This window comes from Homo sapiens, chromosome 11 (assembly GCF_000001405.40).
Source record: "Homo sapiens chromosome 11, GRCh38.p14 Primary Assembly".
Classification (NCBI taxonomy): Eukaryota; Metazoa; Chordata; class Mammalia; order Primates; family Hominidae; genus Homo; species Homo sapiens.
Window position 1 is genome coordinate 112,141,658 of NC_000011.10, and position 25,597 is coordinate 112,167,254.

General features: G+C 38.4%; 1 protein-coding gene and 1 long non-coding RNA gene across 6 annotated transcripts, besides 5 other annotated features; both read right to left on the reverse strand.

Annotated features, from left to right (window-relative positions):
* Nucleotides 1,603-22,437, reverse strand: IL18 (interleukin 18). 5 transcript variants are annotated; one of them, NM_001562.4, is made up of 6 exons: nt 22,249-22,437; nt 13,318-13,404; nt 11,935-11,946; nt 8,415-8,549; nt 6,946-7,079; nt 1,603-2,160 (listed from the first exon to the last, which is right to left on the reverse strand). In NM_001562.4, the coding sequence occupies exons 2-6, from the start codon at nt 13,394-13,396 to the stop codon at nt 1,939-1,941; spliced, it is 582 nt and encodes a 193-aa protein (NP_001553.1). In that variant the 5' UTR covers nt 13,397-13,404; nt 22,249-22,437; the 3' UTR covers nt 1,603-1,938. The 5 variants fall into 5 exon arrangements, with proteins under 5 accessions (NP_001553.1, NP_001373349.1, NP_001230140.1 ...); NM_001386420.1 differs by having other exon boundaries at nt 13,318-13,425; NM_001243211.2 differs by lacking the exon at nt 11,935-11,946.
* Nucleotides 1,671-1,840: an enhancer, noted in NCBI's record as "experimental_18793 CRE fragment used in MPRA reporter constructs". NCBI's record gives its function as "activates a minimal promoter by MPRAs in K562 erythroleukemia cells, with activity observed for the non-introgressed 11:112014136 variant allele {active_cell/tissue: K562}" and the evidence as "EXISTENCE:reporter gene assay evidence [ECO:0000049][PMID:34662402]".
* Nucleotides 4,406-4,575: an enhancer, noted in NCBI's record as "experimental_18795 CRE fragment used in MPRA reporter constructs". NCBI's record gives its function as "activates a minimal promoter by MPRAs in K562 erythroleukemia cells, with activity observed for both the introgressed and non-introgressed 11:112016871 variant alleles {active_cell/tissue: K562}" and the evidence as "EXISTENCE:reporter gene assay evidence [ECO:0000049][PMID:34662402]".
* Nucleotides 9,302-9,471: an enhancer, noted in NCBI's record as "experimental_18799 CRE fragment used in MPRA reporter constructs". NCBI's record gives its function as "activates a minimal promoter by MPRAs in K562 erythroleukemia cells, with activity observed for both the introgressed and non-introgressed 11:112021767 or rs5744258 variant alleles {active_cell/tissue: K562}" and the evidence as "EXISTENCE:reporter gene assay evidence [ECO:0000049][PMID:34662402]".
* Nucleotide 9,387: a transcriptional cis regulatory region, noted in NCBI's record as "Neanderthal adaptively introgressed variant 11:112021767 (GRCh37/hg19 assembly coordinates) or rs5744258 in the experimental_18799 CRE". NCBI's record gives its function as "modulates activity of the experimental_18799 enhancer by MPRAs in K562 erythroleukemia cells {active_cell/tissue: K562}" and the evidence as "EXISTENCE:reporter gene assay evidence [ECO:0000049][PMID:34662402]".
* Nucleotides 15,609-15,903: a silencer, noted in NCBI's record as "tiled region #14451; K562 Repressive non-DNase unmatched - State 23:Low". NCBI's record gives its function as "represses a minimal TATA promoter and a strong SV40 promoter by Sharpr-MPRA in K562 cells {active_cell/tissue: K562}" and the evidence as "EXISTENCE:reporter gene assay evidence [ECO:0000049][PMID:27701403]".
* Nucleotides 23,705-25,486, reverse strand: TEX12-AS1 (TEX12 antisense RNA 1). Its single transcript, XR_001748384.2, has 3 exons — nt 25,406-25,486; nt 24,419-24,519; nt 23,705-23,862 (listed from the first exon to the last, which is right to left on the reverse strand). It is a non-coding gene; the product is annotated as a TEX12 antisense RNA 1 (long non-coding RNA).

A 25,597-nucleotide genomic window follows, 5' to 3' on the forward strand; every position in this document is an offset into this window, starting at 1 on the left:
TGGTCTTGATAACTTTAGGTTTATAGTAAGTTTTAAAATTAGGAAGTAAAAGTTTTCCAACTTTGTTTTTAAAAAATTATTTGCTCTTCTGGGTCTTTTCATTTCCATATACATTTTGGGTACAGCTTGTCAATTTCTGCAAAAACCCTGCTGGAATTTTGATGAAGACTAAATTGAATGCATGCATCAATTTGGGGACAATTGTTATCTTAACAATATTGAATGAGTTTTCCAATCAGTGATCATAGAATGTCTCTCCAATTATTTAGATCATCTTTAATTTCCCTCAGAATGCTTTGAAATTTTCGATGTACAAGTTTTATAATTATTTTGCTAAATTTATTTGTATTTTATTTTTTTAATACCATCGTGAATGGAATTTTCTTGTTTTCAGATCATTCATTGTTCATATACAGAAATACCAATATACCATTTTTTTTTTGGAGACGGGGTCTCACTTTGTTGCCTAGGCTCGAGTGCAGTGGCTATTCACAGGCAAGATCACATTGCACTATAGCCTCAAACTCCTCACCTCAAGTGATCCTCCTACCTCAGCCTCCCAAGTAGCTGGGACGAAAGGTACATGCCATCTCCACTGAGCCCAGCCTTCAATGTATTTTTGCATATTGATATTGCAACCTGCAACCTTGCTGAACTTATTAGTTCTAACATGTGTGTGTATTCCTGACGGTTTTCTGCATAAAGAACCATGTTGTCTGCAAATAAAGACTTCCTTTCTAATCTGGGTGCCTTTTATTTTTATTTATTGTATGGTTGCTCTGGCTAGAACCTCCAGTACAATGTTGAATAGAAGTTGCAAGAGCTGACATGCTTGCATTATTCTTGATCTTAGGGTAAAATAATTCAGTTTTTCATCGTTAAGTATGATATTAGCTGTAGGTTTTTCATAGATGCCTTTATGATGTTCTCTTTCAAGTTTGAGAATTTTTATTATGAATTGGATTTTGTCAAATGCTTTTTCTGCATCTATTGAGATGATAGTGTAACCAAGGAATTGTGAAAAAAGAAAAAAAGATGAGAATACTGTTTTGATACTTTATTAATATAGTATGTTATGTTAATTGATTTTAGGATATTAAACCATCTTTGCATTCCTAGGATGAATGTCAGTTGGCCAGAGTATATAATCCCTTTTATATATTGCTGGATTCAGGATCAAACTGAATTTTAAAAATATACTGACTTTGGAGGAAATTCAGAAATTTGTCAAGTGAAGTGGCCTCCTTATAAAAATATTGATGGTTTAACGATATTCTTAAAAATTAGAAAGTTCAAATATCAATATCTTTTGTCATTAGGACTAATAACCCAAAAGATTTAAAAATAATTATATTAAGTATAATTAATATGCCAATTAACAATGTAGAATGTTTTCAAACTATGAATTTTTTAAACATTATTTTATTTTATTTTATTTTATTCACTTAAATAAGGGAAAGTCTGTTTGTTTGCTTTTGTGAAAGTTCATTCATTTCTTAATGATGTTTTTCAAGACTAGTATTTATTTTATTTCACCATTACAATTATAGACTAATAATCTCATAATCTTTCTAAACATAAAAATTCAGACAGTTCACATTATGAATTTTTTATTTGTTTATTTATTTATTTTATTTTTTGAGATGGAGTTTTGCTGTTGTTGCCCAGGCTAGAGCGCAATGGTGCAATCTCGGCTCACCACAACCTCTACCTCCGGAGTGCAAGTGATTCTCCTGCCTCAGCCTCTTGAGTAGCTGGGATTGAGGGCATGCGTCACTACACTCAGCTAATTTTTTGTATTTTTAGTAGAGATGAGGTTTCACCATGTTGGTCAGGCTGGTCTTGAACACCTGACCTCTGGTGATCTGCCCGCCTCAGCCTCCCAAAGGGCTGGGATTACAGGCGTGAGCCACTGCGCCCGGCATGAAATTTTAATAGCTAGTCTTCGTTTTGAACAGTGAACATTATAGATCTATCCCCCAATTCATCCTCTTTTTTCAAAATGAGTTTAAAAAGGTCTCTCTCTTTTTCACAAGCTAGAAAGTATCCTTCGTATGATGAAGATTCAAATTGCATCTTATTATCATGTCCTGGGACACTTCTCTGAAAGAATATGATGTCACTTTTTGTATCCTTGATGTTATCAGGAGGATTCATTTCCTATAGAGAAAAAAACATTACCTAATTATTTCAGGACATGAACAATTTGAATATATGAAGTTTGTTTTGAAGTATATTACCAAACAGAACAAAAGTAGTTTTGCTTCTCAAGAGTTACATAAAAAAAATCTCTGAACAGCAGTACTGACCTCCTCTCCTTCTTAACTCCGAATCTCCTATTCTCCCTGTCATGGGATGCATATTCAGTTCCAGGCCTCTAGTTTTCCCCTATACATCAAACAGCTTACTTCTCTCCTCTCCCATTGAGTGGTGTCCACATTTGCTCAAGATTAAGTAGAGTTCCAGCAAAGACCACAAGCTTTTTGGGCTAATGTCAATTTCTGTCCTCTATAATAACCATTCACGGCTAAAGACGATGATGACCTCCTCCCACAAACTTAGGCTAGTTCTAGTTTCTTTTTCTTTTTGCTTTGAGACAGGGTCTCGCTCTGTTGCCCAGCCAGAAGTGCAGTGGTGAAATCATAGCTCACTGCAGCCTTGAATTCCTGGGCTCAAGCAATCCCCCTGCCTCAGCCTCCTGAGTAGCTGGGACTGTAAGTATACACCACCACATTTGGCTAATTTTTAAAATTTATTTTTGTAGAGAAGGGGTCAGGGGGTATCTCACTTTGTTGCCTAGGCTGGTCCTGAACTCCTGGCCTCAAGTGACCCTCCCACTTCGGCCTCCCAAAGTGCTGGGATTCCAGGTGTAAGCCACCATGCCTGGCCTGGCCAGTTCTCATTTCTGAGCCAACTGTGAGAGAGACAGAAAGTGCCAGGAATCTTAGCTTACTCTTTCAGTGGAGCCTGAAATTAAAACTTACAGTGAATAGACCCAATAATTGTTGTAGGGCTAGGCCCTGGGTTCCTGTGTAAGCCTGCTGTATTGGCTCAGTTGGCAGTCCTTGACTCTGTCTTCCTGCCAAGCACTCCAGTTCCATAGTAGTCTTGAATTTCTGTCCTGAATATGGTCTCCTTGGCTGGGCCCTGCCTTAGAAGGCCAAATGCAGATTCTTGTATGTTTCAGTCACAGAATAGGGTCTTGTGAGAAATGGTTAGATTACTTGAAACTATAATCTTGCAGGTTATCCAACTGGTAGTGCTGCCTGCACTTTTCCTGTTAGTGCAGCATGTCTATTTTGCAGGATGGATCAGAACATGTGGGCACCACCTAAGGTTCTTCCATGTTAATCCTGGAACCAGTAGATGTTTTGGACTTAATTTTGGCCTCATGGCAGCACAGATTCCCATGATCCTAAGCACTGATAGAGAAACCTCCAAAATTAAAATAGCATTTCTTCATCCTTCAAAGAGCCTGAAAGACTCTGGATGGCAGAGGTCACGGGGTTACCTCCAACTTCTCAATCAGTTGTGGAATCAGTAGTCATAACTCTTGACCTTTGTTCTTTATCAACAAGTGTGGGTCCTAAGTTGATGAAAGTATAAACTAGTTCCCCTATTGGCACCCACTTCTGCAGCTGTCTACAATATACAATTTAGGAAGAGACCCTAAGCTGTGGGCATCAATTTGGAACTAATCTGAAATCTAATGTATAAATGAGAAATAATCCATAGCCAAAACTTCAAAAGCTCTAGTAACATTACAGGGGAAGATGAACCAGTATAGAAAGTTACAGTTGAGCCGGGTGCGATGGCTCACGCCTGTAATCCCAGCACTTTGGGAGGCTGAGGCGGGCGGATCACAAGTTCAGGAGATCGAGACCATCCTGGCTAACACGGTGAAACCCCGTCTCTACTAAAAATACAAAAAATTAGCTGGGCATGGTGGCAGGCGCCTGTAGTCCCAGCTGCTTGGGAGGGTGAGGCAGGAGAATGGCGTGAACCCGGGAGGCAGAGCTTGCAGTGAGCTGAGATCGTGCCACTGCACTCTAGCCTGGGCGACAGAGCGAGACTCCGTTTCAAAAAAAAAGAAAAAAAGAAAAAAAGAAAAAAAGAAAGTTACAGTTGAAAGCGAGAGTGTGGATAGGTAGAACAGGCAATCTCTTTAATCACACTTATTGCACATTTCAGAATAGAGGTAAGGACATCCTTGGGCAGTAGCTTTCCTAGTTTTGATGTTGACCACTCCCAGCCATCATAGGGAAGGTACATAGCAAATGGATGTGAAAGCAATCCCAATGACCTTGGAGAACCCCCAACTTGGAAAGCCCTACCTGGTGAAACTTGAGTGCTCCAAGGGGAAAGGGATTTCTTTCTTTTTTTTTTTTTTTTTTTTACATCAGAAGGGGTTGAATCTGAATCCAGGGAAAGTTGATATTGACCTAACATCTCCCAAGTGCACTGGAAAGTCTGAGGGAACCCTGGCCAAGCCTGGATATAGATACATATATACATGTATATGTATATATATGAAACAGACACTGACAGTAACCTCTCAAAGCAAATCCCTCTTAGTGTTGTCAAGGTTCTTGACCAAAGAACTTTATAGGACTTTATAGCTAGTAATCAACAGTGAAAGGTGAGCACATAAGGGTAGCCTGTTGTATCTTTTTCTTTTTTTGAGACAAAGTCTCATTCTGTCGCCCAGGCTGGAGTGCAGTGGTGCGATCTCAGCTCACTGCAGCCTACACCTCCTGGTTTCAAGCGATTCTTCTGCCTCAGGCTCACGAGTAGCTGGGATTACAGGTGCATGCCACCATGCCTGGCTAATTTTTGTATTTTTTTTAGTAGAGACAGAGTATCGCCATGCTGGCCAGGCTGGTCTTGAACTCCTGATCTCAAGTGAGACACTCGCCTTGCCCTCCCAAAGTGCTGGGATTATAGGCATGAGCCACTGTGCCTGGCCTGTTGTATCTTATTATCTAGAACCTAGGCCACTTTTATAACCACTGCTAAGATCCTTATTAGTGGCAGGAAAAGGGATTAAAGACAAGGGCTAAAACTGGTCCTAGTCCACCCCTCACTCTCTCCCCCCCTCCAACTAATATTTATTGAGTTCCTTCCAGAAGCAGATTTGCTATGATGCTGATGAAGCTTAAATGTCAGATTCCCTCATTTGCACAGATCTCTTCCAGCCACCCCCCGCCCTTTTTAAAATTTGAATTAAAATTTGAATTAAATTATTAAGCTTATGCCTTTGGTAATTTTACTTTTTTTTTTTTTTTTTTTTGAGACCGAGTTTTGCTCTTGTTGCCCAGGCTGGAGTGCAATGGCACGATCTAGGCTCATCGCAACCTCTGCCTCCCGGGTTCAAAAGATTCTCCTGCCTCAGCCTCCCGAGTAGCTGGGATTACAGGCATATGCCACCACGCCCAGCTAATTTTGTATTTTTAGTAGAGATGGGGTTTCTCCATGTTGGTCAGGCTGGTCTTGAACTCCTGACTTCAGGTGATCCGCCCCCCTCGGCCTCCCAAAGTGCTGGGATTACAGGTGTGAGCCACCACGCCCAGCCACATTCTTTTTCTTTAAAAGGGCCATCAAAATTGAATAAACTTCAGGCTCCCCCAAATATGGATTTGCCCAGTTCCTACTAAGTGCCAAGCATTATTTCCATCTTCTTAACATTTTCACCAGTCTCCCTCAACAAGAATCCACCTGTAGGTTCGGACTTATCCCAGTTTCTGAATCTGCCTCTGCAGCTGAGTTTTCCTCTATCCCACATAGCTTGAGCTTGGCCATCTCCTTCCCTTCTAATTATGTTGTTCAGTAACAGCATGCTTAACCCTTTCCACCCTACCCTTCCATCCCAGGCCTCTTATGCTATTTTGATAACTAAGCTGCCTGTCAGGTCTAGAATGGGGACTCCAAATTGTCACCTGAAGGGGTGGCACTCTGGTTGGAGGGAGATAGCTGAGGGATTTGTCTGGGGGCTGTATCTGTTGCATATGCACTGTTCTTACTTGGATTATATTTTAGAGTGGCTTTTTTCTCCCTACCAAGTTGCCCCTTGGTACCTTCACTAAGGTCATATCCTAACTGTCTTTCAGTGGGGACTGGGTGGGCATGAAAGCGGTTATTTATTGGCAAATCTCCACTCAAAAAGAGTCTTCATGACATGGAATTCTCCTCTGAAGCATTGCCAATTTGTAAGCATCCCTGGCTACTCTTACTGGCTCAGTCTGTAGCTATAGTTAATTGTGGTTTATCTAACAATAATGGAGGAAATAGAGAAAAATAATAGAGAATAATAATGGAGAATAATAGAGAAAAAGTAGAGGCCAGAAATACTTTATACCTGGCTTGAAGATAATTATAGCATTACTTTTACAGCTGATCTCATAACTTTTATTCAATTAGATTAACATTAAAAATAACATACATCAACTGGAAGCTGAAGCTTGTGTCTAAGACTTAGGCTAAGGATCAGCAACAAAACAACTAGGGATTAAAATATTATCATAATTTACAAAGGTGTAGAAATATAGAAGGATAATTAGCTTCATTCTTCATAGCAGAACTCATTCTGGAAAGTCACATGTTATTCTTAAATGTATAACTCACATATGTATTCTACATTATTATTTGTATAAAGACTGATTGTTCAGGAGATGCAGGTCATAAAACAAGTGTTGTATCTCCTCTTCCCTGTGACAGGCTCAGAAAAACCATCATTATCACAATAGGTAAAGAGTTTGATAATTTTTAGTAAGTATTCATTTTAATGGTTCTCTGCTTCTTGTTATTTCTGTTCTAGACAAAAGGTTGGTCTGAGGATATTTGAGTTTTCTAATTACATTACTTATATTAACATTAGAAATAATGTTATATTTCTAATTATATTAATTATATTAACATGATTGAAAACAAAGTAAGGCTCAGTCTTACCTTAAAGGAAATAATTTTGTTCTCACAGGAGAGAGTTGAAATTTTCTCACACTTCACAGAGATAGTTACAGCCATACCTCTAGGCTGGCTATCTTTATACATACTTATAATAAATATGGTCCGGGGTGCATTATCTGAAATAAATATAATAAATGAGAACTCTAGTTAGAAGAATTCTTGCACAGGAACATTTGCGGAAATTTAACCAAAGGATAGTCCTTAATACACCTGTTCCCACTTTGAGACTTGGCCAGTCTGCAGGAGACTATGTACAGCTGGTCAGACATTTTTAAAAACACAGTTCAGGCCTGGCACAGTGGCTCATGCCTGTAATCCCAGCATTTAAAAGTTAAAAACAACCTTTTATAATCTATATCATTATACTCATAAAAGTTGCAGCATGTGTGTTGTAACACATATTAAACTGTGGGGTTGTTTGTTTGTTTGGGAGGCTGAGGCAGGCAGATCACTTGAGGTTAGGGGTTTGAGACCAGCCTGGCCAACATGGTGAAACCCCAGCTCTACTAAAAATACAAAAATTAGCCGGGTGTAAGTGGTGCATGCCTGTAATCCCACCTACTCGGGAGACTGAGGCATGAGAATCGCTTGAACGTGGGAGGTGGAGGTTGTAGTGAGCCGAGATCACACCACTGCACTGCACTGCACTTCAGCCTGGGTGACAGAGTGAAACTGCATCTCAAACAAACAAACAACCCCACAGTTTAATGTGTATTACAACACACACGCTGCAACTTTTTTGAGTATTTTAAAGATATGAATTCTAAAAGATTGTTTTTAACTTTTAAATGCTAAATAAAATATTTAAAATATATGTTAAGGTAAGTATTCAGTATTTTTAAAGAATGCACATTCACTGCTTCAACTCAGCCTAACTTTGATATTTGGAATTCATATTTTGGAAGGCACAGTAGACTTGATCATTTTCTTTTCTTAAGTTTTTTTTTTTTTTTTTTTTTTTTTAATTTTAGAGACAAGGTCTGTATATCACCCAGGCTGGAGTGCAGTGGCTATTCACAGGTACGATCACAGTGTACTACAGCCTCAAAGTCCTGGCCTCAAGCAATCCTCCTGCTTGAGCCTCCCAAGTAGCTAGGATTACAGATAGATGCCACCACACCTGGTAAACTATCAGCATTTTCAGCTGTAACAAGCAGGGATTAAGCATCCAACTATAGAGGTTTTAAACAGTTAATGCAATCACAATAAAGGGATTGGTGATTCAAAGGCAGGCTCAGAGAGGCATGACCCCTAGCAATGTCTTATTGTATCCAATTTTTTACCCCAACTAAAAAACGTGGATGCCTTATAAAGTTTCCTGTAAGTGAAATTATTGTCACTCCTGTGACTTTTCATCTGAGGATTGGGACTAGCACGGAACAATGTAAGCAGTAAAACAGAATGGGAAGAAGTAGCTAGTCATTTCTATGTTTGCGAATTAAAAAAAATACCTCTACAGTCAGAATCAGTCATATCTTCAAATAGAGGCCGATTTCCTTGGTCAATGAAGAGAACTTGGTCATTCAAATTTCTTATGACTGATAATTTAGATTCAAGCTTGCCAAAGTAATCTGATTCCAGGTTTTCTACAATAAACATTAAATCTCATTTAAAAATACATAGTTTCTTTGTTAATTGACAAATAAGTATGCTATATATTTTAGTTTTCTAAAACTATTAATGACAATCTTCTGTTCCAGAAGTAGCTACAATAAAGTTGCCTATTGTTTTTTAACCTACTCTCAAAGGCACACTCAATTTCTTGTTACCATTCAGAACTACTCTGCCTCTGAAGTGTTAACTTCAAATAGCCTACTTTCTGACCGGTCTCTTACCCTTCTAGTTTTCTTACACTTTTACTCCAACTCTATGTGTTCTTAAATTTCACAACATCTTCCAGTCTCCTGACTCTTGTATTTCCTATCTAACCTCTTCCCGTCTTCCCTTCCTTCCCTGTGCAGCTGGATCTCAGAGTTCATTTTGTCTACCATTTTGCCAGGATATTAAATCCCTAACTTATTTGTCTTTCTGCTACAAAACTCCAAACTTGGCTGCTGAGTGCTGCTGGTGAACAATGGCACAAGCGTTCAAATCGGTGCCATTACAAGCATACCAATTGTCAATACTTCTTTTGTTTTCCAGTTCAGCACTCTCTTCCATAGCTGATAGCCGCAATTTCAAATTTTCTTTGCTCTCTTCAGGACCTCTACACCATCATCTCTGTTTTCATTTTCAGCAAATGATTTCCTGCTACTCCACGTACAAATTTAACTCTGGCAGCACCAGTTATTGCCTCTCTCCCTTTTGTCCCAAGGGGAAATGAGAAAGTGCCATTTCTGGTATCTAGGGCTGATCCCATTTGTGCTCGGCATGTACCCTCTACTGAAGCTTTAATTTGCCAATCATCCTTTCTCTTCTATCAACCCAGCAATTCTACCTCCTGGGTTTTATCCTGAAGAAAAAATCAGACAAATGTGTGAACATTTTTGTACAGGAATGCTTATGGGAACATTGTTAATAACAACAACAAACTGGAAACAAACATTCACCAATTAAGAATTGATTAAATAAAAAGGGCAAAGATATGCCCTTATTGTGAAATATCATGAACTTAATATAACTGCAATTACTCGTTGCCATGGAGAGATGTCCATATATATCACTAACTAGAAAAAGCAGCTTAGGTATAGTACAATCCCTTTTAATAAAAATATAAGCATTTCTGTGTCTGTATATATACATAGAAAGGAGTGTAGAAATATTGTATCAAAATGGTAGCTATCATTATTTCTGGGTGGTTTTTATATTTTTATCTTTCATATTATTATCTTTTTTCATTGCCTCAATTAGTTACAATTAACACATTATTTTCATAATCAAAAAAGCACAAAGCTCTTTATTTTGAGATTTAAAACTGCTCCATCAACCCAATCTCACTTTGCAGCTAGTCTTGTTTCTCTCCTCCTTTTAACAGCCAAGCTTTTAGCAAGAATTATCTGTATCATTTCTTCACTTTCCATTCACTGTTTCACTCATTGCAATCTGCCTCTGCCTCCATTTCACCATCAAGCTGCTTTCACTGAGATCACCAAACTCCTTGTTGCTAAATCTAAAAGCTGTGTTCTGGCCCTTGATTCTCAAGGCTGCAAAATTCAACACAACACCTATCCCCTCAATCTTGAAATGCTCTCCTGGGAGTCGGTGGAATTCTCTTGGTTTTTCTTCTTCCCTTTTGGTTAGTCTGCTCTCTGTTGTTTATTAGCTTCTTTCTACTGCATCCTTTAAATGTAGGTATTCCCCCCAGTTCAGTACTTGGCTTTTCCTCTCTCACTTTACACATTTCCTCTGATTTGTCTTTTTATCTCTATAGATTCAAATGCCATTTCTATGCATAAGCCTTCAATATCTCTATCTCCAGCCCAAATCTTTGTCCTGAACTCAGAACCACATGTAGAAGAGTTTTTGGACATCTCCACTAGGACGTTCCACAGACATCTCAGATCCAAAACGAAATGCGTCATCCATCCTCCTCTTTGTATACACCAAAACCTGCTCTTCCTCCTGTGTTTCCTATTTCACTGAATGGTACAAATTGCCTAAGTGAAAAATGTAGGCATCATCTTTTCTACTTTCTTCTCCTTTCCAAATCCAACCCTAAATCATGTCCTATTGATTCTCTCAAGTGTTTCTAAAATCCATTCACAGCTCCTCATCAGCACTCCCCTATGTCTACCTTAATTCATGACACCATCATTTCTTGTAATAACTAAAATAATAGCCTCTCAACCCTTAATTTTGTCCTCCTCACCCCACACCATCAATTCTTTATACCAAAGCCAGAATGATATTTTAAAAATATATTATTTCTGAATTTTAAAGAGTCATATGGCTACCTGGAATAAAGATTATATTTTCCAGATTTCCTTGCACTTGGTGTGGCCATGTGATTAAATTCTAGTCAATGGAATATGAGGGGGATTGATGTGTTTAACTTCCAATTAGAGTCTTTGAAAGGAATGAGCCTGACTTCTCTTGACCCTTTCTTGATAACTGGGATATGAACCCAGGAAGTATGATGATTTTCAACTATGTGAGTGAGATCAACAACTAGGGGATGATGGGTACAAGACTGAAGAAAGTTGGGGGTCCCAATATCATCAGGTTGCTTCCAGCCATACTACTTCTGAGCTGCCTACTTAGACTTTCTTTGAGAGAAAAATTCTCTATCTTATTCAGCTACTGTATCTTTGGATGTCTTTGTTACAACAAACTAATCTTTACCCTAGCTAATACATATTGTGCTTAATTAACCCTATTATCTCCAAGATAAAGTCCAAATTTCACATCTTGGGGTGAGAGAACGTCTTGCTCTACACCCTGTTTATCACTCTAGCTTCTCTCACCAGTCTCCTACTCCTACTCTACTTCCATTCTGAATTACCCTGAATTCATCATAAATGCCATGGTTTCTTTCAGCTTTTGGCCTCTGAATGTGGTCTTCTTGCCCCACCCATTCCTATCTCCTCTACTTCCAGAATTTTCTGCCCCACCCCACCACCAACCCGGGAACCTTCCAGGCTTCTTCCCAAAGCATTTCTGAGAGGAGGTGTTACTGATTTTGGACAATTCTAATGCTTCAATCCCTTTTTCCTATGCAACGCTCCCCCTACAACAGAATCCATGACTTCATGCTAATCTTAGGACCTATGAAACAGGCAAAGTCTATTTTGTAGATTCTAAGAGCTGGAGAATTTTTTAAGGCATAGAGAAGCATCTTTTGCTAGAGGTTCTTCTTTGTATCTCTTATGATCATCTTCATTCCAAAGCTGTGCTACTGAGTCCACATTTCTTTGAAGGCAGATTGGTAGCATGAGAACCATTTTTTTTTTTCCTCAGCTGACAATGGTGAGATAGATGTGTCTCAAGCAGATACTTAGTTTGCAAAGAAAAATAAATTCATTTCTACTTTACCATCATCTTCAGCTAAGAGGGGGAAAAAGAGAGAAACAGAATATGTAAAATTTTGTATTTCGACTCAGAATTCAATCTCATTCTAGCTTTTACTTTTGCTACTCCTCTTTCTCGAACTCCTATTTTTATGGTTTAAGGGTCTGTCTTGGCTTTCATCAGAATATTATATAATCATCCAAAAGGCCCATAAAATGAAGCTTATCAGACTTAGTGTGTTCTCAGGTAATTTAGACATAAAACTTAAACCTAGGGTTTAAAAATTTCAATATGTAACTAAAAATAAATTTTATAAAATTAGAGATTTTACTTTTAAATTTATTGCTTAAACGGAAAGTCACCTAAGAAAAGTCAACTAATAATTTTTTATGAAGGTTTTTTTTTGTGTGTGTGTGTCAGGGTCTACTGTCATGCAGGCTGGAGTGTAGGGGTGGGATCATAGCTCACTGCAGGCTCAAATTCCTAGGCTCAAGTGATCCTCCTGCTTCAGCCTCCAAAGAAGGTAGGAGGTGTCCACAGGATATTTTGCAGTTTTTTGTAGAGATGGGGTCTCACTTTGTTGCTCAGGCTTTTAAATGAAGGTTTCAAATGAAGGCAAACTTTCAAATGAAGCCAAATTGTTCACAGAAGATTAATCATAAGAATCAATTTTTAGGCCATGTGTGGTGGTTCATGCCTGTAATCCCAGCACTTTGGGAGGCCGAGGCAGGAGGATCATCTGAGATCAGGAGTTCAAGACCAGCCTGGACAACATGGCAAAACCCTGTCTCTAGTAAAAATACAAAAAATTAGCCAGGCATGGTGGGATGCACCTGTAGTCCCAGCTACTCAGAAGGCTGAGGCAGGAGAATTGCTTGAACCCAGGAGGTGGAGGTTGCAGTGAGCAGAGATTGTGCCACTGCACTCCAGCCTGGGCAACAGAAAAAAAAAAAAAAGAATCAATTTTTACTTGTCAAACATATTTACATAAAATGGTGTAATTCACAGAACTCTAAATTTAGAGAATCTCTTACATAATTTGCCAATTTGCTTTGGGAAATTGTATTTCCTGAATGCACCCAGTTTTGTACTGGGATTTTTCCCATGGAAATCCAATGAAAACTGGGATTTTCCCATGAAAACTGGGATTTTCATGATGTGCACTTACTGCCAACTGGAGAGTGAGCTACTGCTGATTAAAGTGCCAGGACACGTGGTGTGACAAGGTGCTGAGACCTTGGACATGTTGTGGTTAATTTCTAGAGGTCCACTATTTTTTTAAGAGCCATTAATATTACAGTGAAATTTGGTGACAAAAAGAGTCACTTAATAGTTCACCTCACAACATCTTTTCTAATTGAATAGATTTATCTGAACCTGGTATTTGTTCTATGGCATTAGCCTTACCTATAAAGTAAAGCGTATTGTCAATAAATTTCATTGCCACAAAGTTGATGCAATTGTCTTCTACTGGTTCAGCAGCCATCTTTATTCCTAATGAAAGCAAAGAGCCATCTGTTAAGAGACAATGATTGTACCTTTTACTACTACTTTATACTACCTTCAAGTTCAGTGGTCAGTTAATCACCTAGTATACTGATGAACAATCTTGACATTCAATAAATGCCAGAAGTTTCAGCTTATGAATACCCATGTTTAAGTGTTCTCTTACAAATCATCAGATATTTGGAAGATAGAAAGCATTTTCTCATTAAACAATATTATAAAGGGTAGATAAATGGCCTAGTACTGAACTGAATCATTATTCTAGTATTCCTTGAGAAATATAAATATATTGTCAATATAAATATAGTTTCACCTGAGGATGCCATAAACACATCTAATCGTGCCCTTTAGGAAGGACTGGCTTCATCCTTCTCTTACAACCAGTGGGTTCCTATGGGTGAGAGGCTGAAGGTTTGTGACTTCATTGTCAAAATGCTAAAGGTGAAACAATGATAAAAAAGTGCTTCCATCTGAGGGTACAGGCAGGGTGGGAGAAGGCTGAAGGGCTCTGGCATTTGGTGGCCCTCTTTCTCCCTGAGCTGCGGTGATTTTTGATCTGGAGTCTCGATTATACTATATTTTTAACACAAGTAATACATAAATACAATCTTGCTGTAAAATCAAGGGATACAGGATTTGAAAAAAATTTAAATCCTTCCATTTGCTTTTCCTTTCTGCCCCTCTTCCAATACGGTGTGCAGGCTTCCAGAATTTTGTTATGGAATAGGAGTTCTCAGTGTGAGAAATCTGTGAACTTGGATGGGGAAAAAAATACACATGTATTTTCACCAACCTCTGAAATTTAGCATTCCTCCCATGATTAGTTGCAGGAAACAAACCACAGTATTATTAGTAGTACTTGTGACTCTGTCATTAATAGAAATACCTATTTTCTGTTGTGCTACAATTATTGCAGAGATCTTGAGACATGGTTTAAACTCATTACTACTTTGAAATTACAGAAGTTTAGTCCTCACAGTAGATCTTATTATTTAATGTGTTGGTAAAAAGGCACATATATACTGCATTAAAATTTGTTTAAAAATTAAATGGTATGCAGGAGAGTATTCATAAATCTGTGCTCAAAATTTTTCTAGCATAATATGAGGCCTAGCATGTATGGTAGAGTAAGCAGGAATTTAAAACTCAGTTTAAAAAAAATTAATCTGAATTAAGCTAACCCCAAAATAGTTGTTAGTTGGTGTTATACAACTAACTTTGTATAATTTTGGCCTCCCAAAGTGCTTGAGATTACAGGCATGAGTCACTGTACCCAGGCCTTATTTGATAGTTTTATCTAGGTTTAGTTCCTTATGCTCATCTAAGTGCGAACAGTTATTAAATTTATCTTATTTAGATAACATTTTTTTTTTTTGAGATGGAGTCTCACTCTGTCACCCAGGTTGGAGTGCAGTGGCACGATCTCAGCTCACTGCAACATCCACCCCACCCCTCTCACCTGGGTTCAAGCGATTCTCCCATCTTAGCCTGGGACTCCCATCTGGGACCACAGATGCGTGCCACCACACCCAGATAAGTTTTCATATGTTTGGTAGAGACAGGGTTTCACCACGTTGCCCAGGGTGGTCTCAAACTCCTGAGCTCAAATGGTTTGCCTGACTTGGCCTCTCAAAGTTCTGGGATTATAGGTGTCAGCCACCATGCCTGGCCAACACATTTAAATAAAATAAAAACTGATGTACAAATGAATTTAAATAAACATTTAAATATTATAAAATTTAAATATTTATCAAACATTTAAATATTATAAATATTAAATTTTATAAGCTATTTATAATATTTAAATTTACAATTTAGAATTATCACCTAGTTTTTTAAAGGAGGGGATAAGGAAGACTCTTAGAGAAAAATAATATAGCAAAGGATGAAAAGATCACTAAGATAAGTCTAAACATTTTTCACCAAAACCCAAACCAACATTAATATTAAAAATCAGAACAATAATGACTAGGCTGTGAGCTCCACGAGGGCATGTTCTTTATTCACCTTTATGGCTTCATTGCTGAACAAGGCCCTATTATCAGCATCAGAAGGTGTTTGTTAATGACTGCATTAACTGAGAAGGCAGACATTTGTTAACCTGAGAGGCACTCTATGTTTTGATTAGTTATCAGTTGGTGAAATAATGATTAGCATGATCTTCTGTACATACTTTAATATTATGTAATACACACATATTTATCAAACTAATTCACCTGAAATGTACCAAGCAGTATGGGCAGGAATTGGATTAAATTACTGGTGTTTACTATTTTGAGTACATAGTTAGTCAATGAGTGAATGGATTTAGAGAAGGACAATATTTGAGCTGATTCACCAGTTAAGGTTTGAGCATTAACTATGCATCAGGAATGTGGCCAGTAGCTGACCAAACCACACATGAATGAGAGTTGGCTCCTACTCTCCAGTGACTCAGAGTCTAGTGGGAGAGAAGAATCTATAAAGAGTTACAAAATAATGTAATGAATGACGTAAGAGCTGAATTTACAAGAGATTCATTCTTTCTGTTTGATGGTGCTGGAGAAGGTTACCACAGAAAGTGATGACTGTGCTACCTTGAAAGAGAAGCAGGCATTTTCAAGGCCAGAGGAAGAGCTTCCACCAAGAAGAAGCAATGTGAACAAAGGCTAGGCAGCGGGGAGACCGAGAAAATATGGGTTGTTTGAGGCCTCAACATTTTTACCATAAATAAGGCAAATGTAGTCACATTTTACAGAAAGAATGCATTTCTAAAGATCTCACATAGTTCAAGGTTACCTTTTCTTTTCTTTTGTTTTTTGGATACAGAGTTTCGCTCTTGTTGCCCAGGCTGGAGTGCAATGGCACGATCTCGGCTCACTGCAACCTCCACTGCCTGGGTTCAAGTGATTCTCTGCCTTAGCCTCCTGAGTAGCTGGGATTACAGTCATGCACCACCACGCCCGGCTAATTTTGTATTTTTAGTAGAGACGGGTTTCTCCATGGCTGGTCTCGAACTCCTGACCTCAGGTGATCTTCCTGCTTCGGCCTCCCAAAGTGCTGGGATAACAGGGGTAAGCCACTGTGCCCGGCCTAATTTTGTATTCTTTTAGTAGTGAGGGGGGCGGGTTTCTCCATGTTGGTCAGGCTGGTCTCAAACTCCTGACCTCAGGTGATCTGCCCGCCTTGGCCTCCCAAAGGCTGGGACTACAGGCAAGAGCCACTGCGCCCAGCCAAAGTTAACTTTTCTTTGGAAAAAACGTAAAAGTTTGAGAGGAGATATTCTTGGAGTACATAAACCTACAACAACCAAAGCATATTGTTGCTTTCTTTCTTTTTTCAACTTTCTCAGCATTATTACTAGTGTTTTGTAGCCTGCTGTCTCCACACAGCCTATTATGGTGGTACTTTGGCCTTTTTAATATTGTTTTCTTGCATATAAACTTGGTTTCAACATATTTATTTGGAGTTTTTTTTTTTTTGCACAGCAGTAACAATACATCCCTTAGCACTTGGATAACATTATCATATATAAAATTATTTAAAATTATGTTTAAAAAGCACAATAATAACCTGTATGTCTGAAGAACTTCTGAGTTATTTAAAGTCTAATTTACATAATAATGACATGGAAGCAGATAATTCTACCAAGTATAAGAGACACTTGCATGTGGCAATAGTGTTAACAGTTTATAACTCATTTGACCTGACAGCTTTGAAATTATGTCATTCTAGATAAACTATTTGGAAGAGTTAACATTATTTCCATTTTGCCCATATAAACTATAATTTTTATACCGTTGCCTAATTCAATTCACATAAAATGCAACTTGCAGTATACTTTGATGAAAGCTTGGAAAGAAGAGTCAGACTACAAAGGCCTTGTGTAAGCAGACTAAAGAGTTTGAACTGTTTTTTCCTGAAAAAAAAAATACTGACTTAAATAGGAGAAAGATATGGTCAAATTTGTGTTTTAAAAACTCAACTCACTCTAGAAGCAACATAAACAATGGATCTGGTCCGTGTGCAGTGGCTCATGCCTGTAATCCCAGCACTTTGGGAGGCTGAGGTGGGTGGATTGCTTGAGGTCAGGAGTTTGAGACCAGCCTGACCAACATGGTGAAACCCTGTCTCTACTGAAAACACAAAATTAGCTGGGTGTGGTGGCACATACCTGTAGTCCCAGCTACTCGGGAGGGTGAACTGCTTAAACCCAGGAGGCTGTGGTTGCAGTGAAGTGCTCCACTGCACTTCAGCCTGGGCAGCAAAAGCGAAACTCTGTCAACACCACCACCACCACCAAGAACAAAAGAATGGACCTGATTGAACAAGATTGGACAGAGGTCAGACAACAACTACTGAAGTAATTTTAACAATTAAGAGTTGATGAGGCTATAAATTAAGGTAATGAATTCAAGAGATACTAAACAGCGGGATTTCTCAGCTGATCTGTTGTGGGTCAAACAGAAGAAGGAGGAACTGAGGATGACTTCGTAGTTTTTGGCTTGGGCAATTTGTTGAGTGGTTACCTCATTCATTAAGAAAAAAGAACGAAAATACAGCTCAAGTGTAAAATAATTAGTTCAGTTTTGTAAATCTGAGATGTGTCACAGAAGTCAAAAGAGAAAGGGTTTCAGGAGGGGCTGCTCGAAATCAAACTGTAGAGCTCCTAATTTACATATAAGCTTAAACTTGTTCATTGAATTTGGCAATTAGGAAGTTTTGGGCAACCGTAGAACAGTTTGGGTAAAGTGGAGGCAGCAGATGGTAGGTGGACAAATATCTAGGACAGAATGGGAGGGGAAAAGTAAAGACAGTGACTACAAACTATTCTTTTAGGAAGTCTGGCTACAAAGTAGAGAGTTAGGGAAGTAGTTACTGGTGGTGGGGGGAGAGTTATATACATGTACAAATTTTAATTTGGCTCCACATACATAGTTCCAATGGTAAGAGATCTAATACATTACTTTTCAAAACATGTCCTAGTTACCTGCCCCAAACTGAAACCTGGGAGTCATTCTTAACTCCTTTGTCTAATCTTTCCCTTGTCTGATAAATACTGTAGATTCTAACTCAGAAATGTCTCCAGAATTTGGTATCTCCTCTCCATCTCCAACAGCACTGTTTTAAATCAAGCCCTCATTACCCCTGGCATCTTCTATTTTAATACTCTTCTACTTGGTTTTCTTGCTTCCAGACTCTCCTCCATTGTTGCCACAGTTATTCTCTCTGCCAGGCCAGAACTTCCCCTTCCCCTGCCTTTTTTTTTTTTTTGCCTGCAAACCCTGCCTCATCTTTCATCCCGTAACTCCCAGCTTTAATAGTTCCTCTAGGAAAACTTCTCTGCTCTTTCATTCCTAGCTAATTATTCTCTCCTCAGAGTCCTACCTCCTTCACACCTGTTCATGCTTCTTAAATAGCTCTTACTACCCTAAATTGAGATTACTTTGATTAAAAATAGGTCTGTTCAGCTTTCATCTGAGTTTTAAGACAATGAGTTGTCTTTTTTCCCCTGAATTTTCAACACCTGGAAAGAGCTTACCACACAGTAAGAACTCAATAAATGTTGTATGAATAAAAGTTTGCTATGATAAACCTTGTTGCCATGACAACAGCGTAGAAAGGGATGTGTAGAATATATATATTTTTTCTATCTTAAACTTTCCCTCCACCTGAAAGCCAATGAGAAGGAGGAAGAACAGGAGGGAAGCCTGAAAACAGAATTTTAAAAATAGAATAATTTTTCTAATGTCTTCTCCATTTTTCCCTAGTAGTTTCTTTTTTATTTCATGTGTTGATTTTGAATTCTTCATTCTTATTTTCTTACAATTCTTCTTGTTAGTTCTCAATACATCTATGACTGATTACAAGTAGTGTGTTCTCATCCCCATTCCTCCTCTCCTCAATTTTCCTCTTCCTTTCTCATCCGTGTTTCTTTGCTTTAACTCTAATCTATGAAAATTATAGTATCCATTGGATAAAAATGCTTTGACTATTTCATCTAAAATTCTCAGACTACTGACTTTTTTTTTTTTTAAGAGTTATAAACCACCTCAGAAAGATCCTCCCAGGAGTAAGCAGTGACAATTTGTTCTTTAAAACAGACATAAAAATTTAGTTATGCAATACTTTGACAACTAGCCAGAGGCTAGTGAATGGTAGAATTTCATGATGGAAATTAGGACACATGAGTTCCAGTTTTGTCTGGGGCAAGTCACTTAATTTTAAGGGTCTCAGTTCCCTCATTTGGACAAGGAAGTTGGCTAGTCAGTCTTTAAGGTCTGTTCCAGCTCTACCAACCTGCAATTCTAGACTCTAGTTAAAGCTGTAAGGAGAGAACCATTGATATGTGGCAAACGGCCTAGTAACCACTTCTTCATAATTCTAAGACAGTAAATATTTATGGCATATTTATTATACAACCAGCATTGTTAAGCCACTAAGAGTTTAAAAACATACTATTAGGCTGGGCACGGTGGCTTATGCCTGTAATACCAGCACTTTGGGAGGCCGAGGCGGCTGGATCACTTGAGGTCAGGAGTTCGAGACCAGCCTGGCCAACATGGTGAAACCCTGTTTCTACTAAAAATACAAAAATTAGCCAGGCATGGTGGCATGTGCCTTGTAGTCCCAGCTACTTGGGACACTGAGGCAGAATAACTGATTGAACCCATGAGGCAGAGGTTGCAGTGAGCCGAGTTCGTGCCACTGCACTCCAGCCTGGGTGACACAGCAGGGCTCCATCTCAAACAACAACAACAACAACAAACATACTACTAGATTAAAAGTTAAAATGCCTTGAACTTGAAAAGCAACTATGATTATGTTTATCCTTGCTGTGGAATTCCAATCCTGTTGAATAGGTATGGGATGAAATGAGGGAGCATGCTACATAATTAATTACCTGAGATCAGGTAGGTAGTCATCTTGACAGCAACAAGATCAAAACCTAACTTTTCAGTTCTATAAATCATTTTATCCTTGAACATTCTGCCATCTTATTATGAATGCGTGTATGTGAGTGTTGAAGAGGTGAGAGTAGCAGAAAACTTAAAAAATAAGTTTTTAAGTTTTTGTTTTTGAGTCTGTAGACTCAAAGCAAAAAAATCAAAATGGAACTGATGTAGTTTAAATGGCCTAGTTTGAAAAGGAGAATTGAGTTGAATCTCAAAGAATGCTTAAAGATTTGAATAGATAGAGAAGGCAATGGACCAGCATTTATGTGATAATCAAAACAATGTTGTGGTGGGGGTGAACTGAATAGAGCGATGTTTTTTTCTTTTCTTTTCTTTTTTTTTTTTTTTTTGAGACATGGTCTTGCTCTATCACCCAGGCTGGAGTGCAGTGACACAGCAAACATGGCTCACTGTAGCCTTGACCTCCTGGGCTCAAGTGATCCTCTTGCCTTAGCCTTTTGAGTAGTTGGGACTACAGGCACATACTACCACATCTGGCTAATTTTTGTATGTTTTGGAGAGACAGGGTTTTTGCCATGTTGCCCAGGCTGGTCTTGAACTCCTGAGCTGAAGCAATCCACCTGCCTTGGCCTTCCAAAGTGTTGGGATTACAGGAGTGAGCCACTGCACCCAACCTGTGATTTTTGGATTGTAGTGGAACAGTCCTGCTATTTTGCAGTGAACACAAGGTAAAGTCGGATTAGATTATGGAGGGCTTTGGAAATCAGGTAAAAGAGTAAATTTAATCTCACAGGCAATAGGAAAACATTGCAGATAAAAAGTTATTTTGAAGGAAGTTTGTTTGTTTTTTTGTTTGTTTTTTTGAGAAAGTCTCGCTCTGTTTAGTGGCTGAACTCACCACAGATTTGGCTATCCTGGGCTCAAGCAGTCCTCAGCATCCTGAGTAGTTCTACAGGCATGCACCAACACACCCAGGTAATTTTTTATTTTTTTGTAGAGACTGTGTTGCCCTGGCTGGTCTCAAATTCCTGGGCTCAGGCCTGCCTGAGATTCTAGGCATGAGCTAGTGCACCTGGCCTGAAAGAAGATTTAATAGAACGTAAAGTAGCTGAATATAGGCAAAAAGACGAATTTCAGGAGTCCTAAAATTTAGGGGGTCCTAATTTTTGTTATTCAACTTCAAACAGAGATATTTATTCAGCCCTTTCCTTAATTGTGAAAGAAAATTATCTCGGGGAATGCTATATTATCCAATTGTAGCCCAGTCCAAAGGTGTGGCAGATTTCACAAGATGACTAACCATGGGCAAATTTTTTGTTTGCTTTTAATGTAACTGATTCTGTCTTGAGATTCCGTTTAAAGAGAAGCTTATTTATTTTACCACTCTAAAGCAGCAATTCTCAGGGAGTTCCTAAAGTGAAAGCTATTTCTAATAATTCTAAGACGTAATTTGTCTTTTTCACTCATTCTCTCATGAGTGTACAACAGAGTTTACCAGAGGCTACATTCTGTGCAATATTGCAATAGTCTGAATGCAAAGCAGATGAGAATCCAGCAGATCTATATGGCTTCTATTAAACCAGTTAAAACACTTGTAAAAATAAAAAAGTGTCACTCTTTATGCTTTTTTTTTGTTGTTAAAAAAGTACATAGTTATTTTTAATTAAAAATGTTACTTATGCTAACATGTGATGTGCTTAGTGTAAAGGGAACATGAGAGCAAAAAGTTTGAGAACCTCTCCTCTAAAGTGATACTCTCCCATATCTGATAAAAGAAAAAAATTCTACTCTGACTTTGCTTATATTTCTTATGTTGATACTGACTGCTCATCGTAGTGATGCTAGATGGTTTATATTCCTCTCAATTGCTTTCTAGCTTATTTACCTCTAATTGCCATGGCTGACTTTCCAAATAAAGAGGAATGATATTTCTTACCTGCGACAAATAGTTTGTTGCGAGAGGAAGCGATCTGGAAGGTCTGAGGTTCCTTTCCTCTTCCCGAAGCTGTGTAGACTGCAGCAGGTGGCAGCCGCTTTAGCAGCCAGAGTTGGCAGCCAGGAGGGCAAAATGCACTGGGAGACAATTCCTTGCTGACTGTCCAGGCAGTCGCCAGGGGAGCAAAGGGCTCAGCAAGCTGGGGAGAGAATGAGGAAGAAGGTGGAGGGAGGAGACTGCTGTCGGCACTCCTTGGGCCCGCCTTCAAACAGGCTCTTTCCTAGGGCAATGGAAGTCGAAATAAAGTGGCAGAGGATACGAGTACTTCTTTTAATGTAATATCACTATTTTCATGAAATCTTTTCTTCCGTAAAAGTTGGGGCTCTGTGCCTTCCAAAACCTGTACCTCTTTCTGAGTATCTCTTTCTGACTTTAAGAAAGCACCTCCTTAGTCCATTAGAAGCATCTTCTTTTGTCATCTGTCTCTCTTCATTTTCAGACTTCCTGGTCACACTTCAGCACAAAACTTTTTCTTATTTTACAATGCGGAATAATCAGTCCTATTGGGGTAATTCCTACAATGTTACAACACTTAAAATATTTCTAAAATGTAACATTTTAAAAAAAGGAACATTTTGCAAATATTTTCTTTTACTTTATAACCTCATTCAGGACTTCCCCTTCCTCCCAAGCTCAATATGGTGTCAAAGGATAGTTGATACAGGCCATTAAGATTTACTTTTCAGTGGAACAGGAGTCCATTTTCATAAAACTTCTTTATCTGCTGTATCAGATGCAAGCCACACGGATACCATCATTAGAATTTTATTTAATAATTTTTACACTTTCTGCAACAGAAAGTAAGCTTGGGGAGAGGGATACCAAAATTCAGGTAAGAGGGCAAATATTTACTTGCAGTTTCCAGTGTTAAAACTTTCTATTCCTGGAATGATAGCAAAGACTGACCTAAAATATTTGAAATACAATTTAAGGATACATATATTTAGGGCTTATGTTCAACATGTTAAAAAATAGTCTTATAAAATGTAACGTTTGAAGAGCAGAGTGTAAATATCACAGTCTTGAAAATAATTAGTGGAAACAAAATTTCTTAGCCATTTTTTTCTTGAACATGTGCTAAACTGTATTACTTTGCTAGGAAGGGAATTAGCAAGGTGGCATTTTGTTTTTGTGTTTTGCCAGTACAGAGTTGATATAAAAACAGAGGGGTTCCTAGAGTCAGGGAACAAAATGCTTACATAAACACTACTTTTTGTTGGTTTGTTTGTTTTAAAAACAAGATAGGGTTTTCATTTCGGGAAGTCATAAAAACATCATGTCCTTCAACAGTGATTACAAAGGAAGTCTGTGGCAGGGTGGCTGGAAGTGCTTGGTGTGGTGACTATCAGAAGAAAAAAAATAGTACCTTTAAGAAGTATATGATAAGAATACATACGTGACTCAAGTTGAAATAGTAAGTTTTCACCTTCCAACTGTAGAGTCCAATTGGGCCAATTAACATGAAAGCACGAAGTGGGATCAAGTAGTGATCAGAAGCAGCACACTAAGCAAGCTCTAATTTTAAATATTCCATTGCCAGTGAATTTTCTCCAGCTGTAAAGATGCAGAATGTGTAATTTACACATTTTGAAGTTTTGGGACAAACACTTTTTTCTTTGATATAGAGCAACAAATGTCTCAGTGTCCTTTGTACTTCATAGAGTTGTTTTCAAAGATTAAATGAGATAATGATGACAGCCCTTTGAATATTTTAAAGCTCTAGATAACAATATCATCTCACTTATTCCTACCCATTTAGCTTATGCAATGGAAGTTAATATTTAAAAAATAAAAGAAAATAAAATGTCCATGGTGTTCTCTTAATCTGATGAAAGCATTTATGCATTAGGTGGAATCATTTTTCTTGGAAATATTTTAAGAATCAGATGGACAACCACCTGTTTAAATATCATACAGTGTGAAGGCTGTGAGATGAATTCCATGAGTATTTCCCAGACCCTTGGGTTTAATGAACCATTAAAAATAATAACAGCAACCATGATAATAAGGAGGAGGAGATAAACACAGTGGACAACTCTACATTTTACCAAGGAAGGACACTAAAAATGTAAGAATTTTTAATCTTTTTATTTCATAAAACTTATCTCACCTGTGCCCCCCAAATTAGGAAGGACATGGTATCAGAATAAAGCACAGTCACTTTAAAGTGAATATATTTGACTTGATGAAAACTTTATACTGCTGAAGAGTCTGAAACAATAAAGATAAAAATTAAGGCAAACTAAAACTTCATTCCTTTTCCCTTCATTTTACCACAGAGGGTAAAAATTCAACACAGATTGCTATTGTTCTGGGACAGTGTTTGAGACTCCTTACTTCGCCATAGTTATCTAGGCTAGTATTATGTGGCCTATATTTCACAATATTAGCAACTCAGATTAAACACATTGAGCGCTTATTTTCTAGGAACTTATTTAAAACAACCGGCTTCTTCACAAACAGCAAATAAATATACACACACAGAATACTTCCAAGACTTAATGATAACTAACATTTAATCAAGCAAAAGGAAAAAAAAAACCTTAGTAATGTATGTAAATGTTAAATATAGTTCTCTAAGATGTAAGATTTTGTACCTGGAGCTTATGGATGTGTGTTATTGACCTTTGTGTTATGAGGTAATTTGCTTTTTTTTTTCTTCCACATCCACTAACTGGGCGTAAGCTTGGAATGTATATCTTTGAAATTGCAGGTCAAAGCCTCCGCATTAAAGCACCCGATGAGGCAAAGCTACAATTATGTGAGCCATGTGTGTTATGCAACACTTTTTGATAGCTGTTGCCAATTAGACTTAACTTATTGACACACCCGGGGAAGAATTTTCTAAGAAGGCGTGATTCTGAACGTTTGGTTGCACCAAAGAGGAAGAGGGGGCAGTAACTGAGGCTCTGGATCTAAAAGCCTTGCTTGTGGGCCAGGGGAACACGTGATTAAAGCCTTCCTGCAAACAGAGCATCTGCAAACGCAGTTTTAAACCCTTCCTGCAAACAAACCAAGTAAATTTTACTCGAAAAGAGGCCGTGGATGTGCTATTTTGTGTTCCTTTGCTGAGATTCTAAGCTGCTGGGACACACACCGGCCTTGCTTTGGCAAGTCTTCCTTGTTCTTTCTTGACCAGTTTCAGATTTTTTCCTGGTTCAAACACACACAGGGTGGCAGGGAGAGATTTTTGTTTCACGAGTATTCCAAGTGGAGGGGAAAGAGCGGGAGAAAACCGGGAAAAAGCTGCCTTTCCGTGGGGCCTGGCTCTGGGAGGCTACGGTGGGGA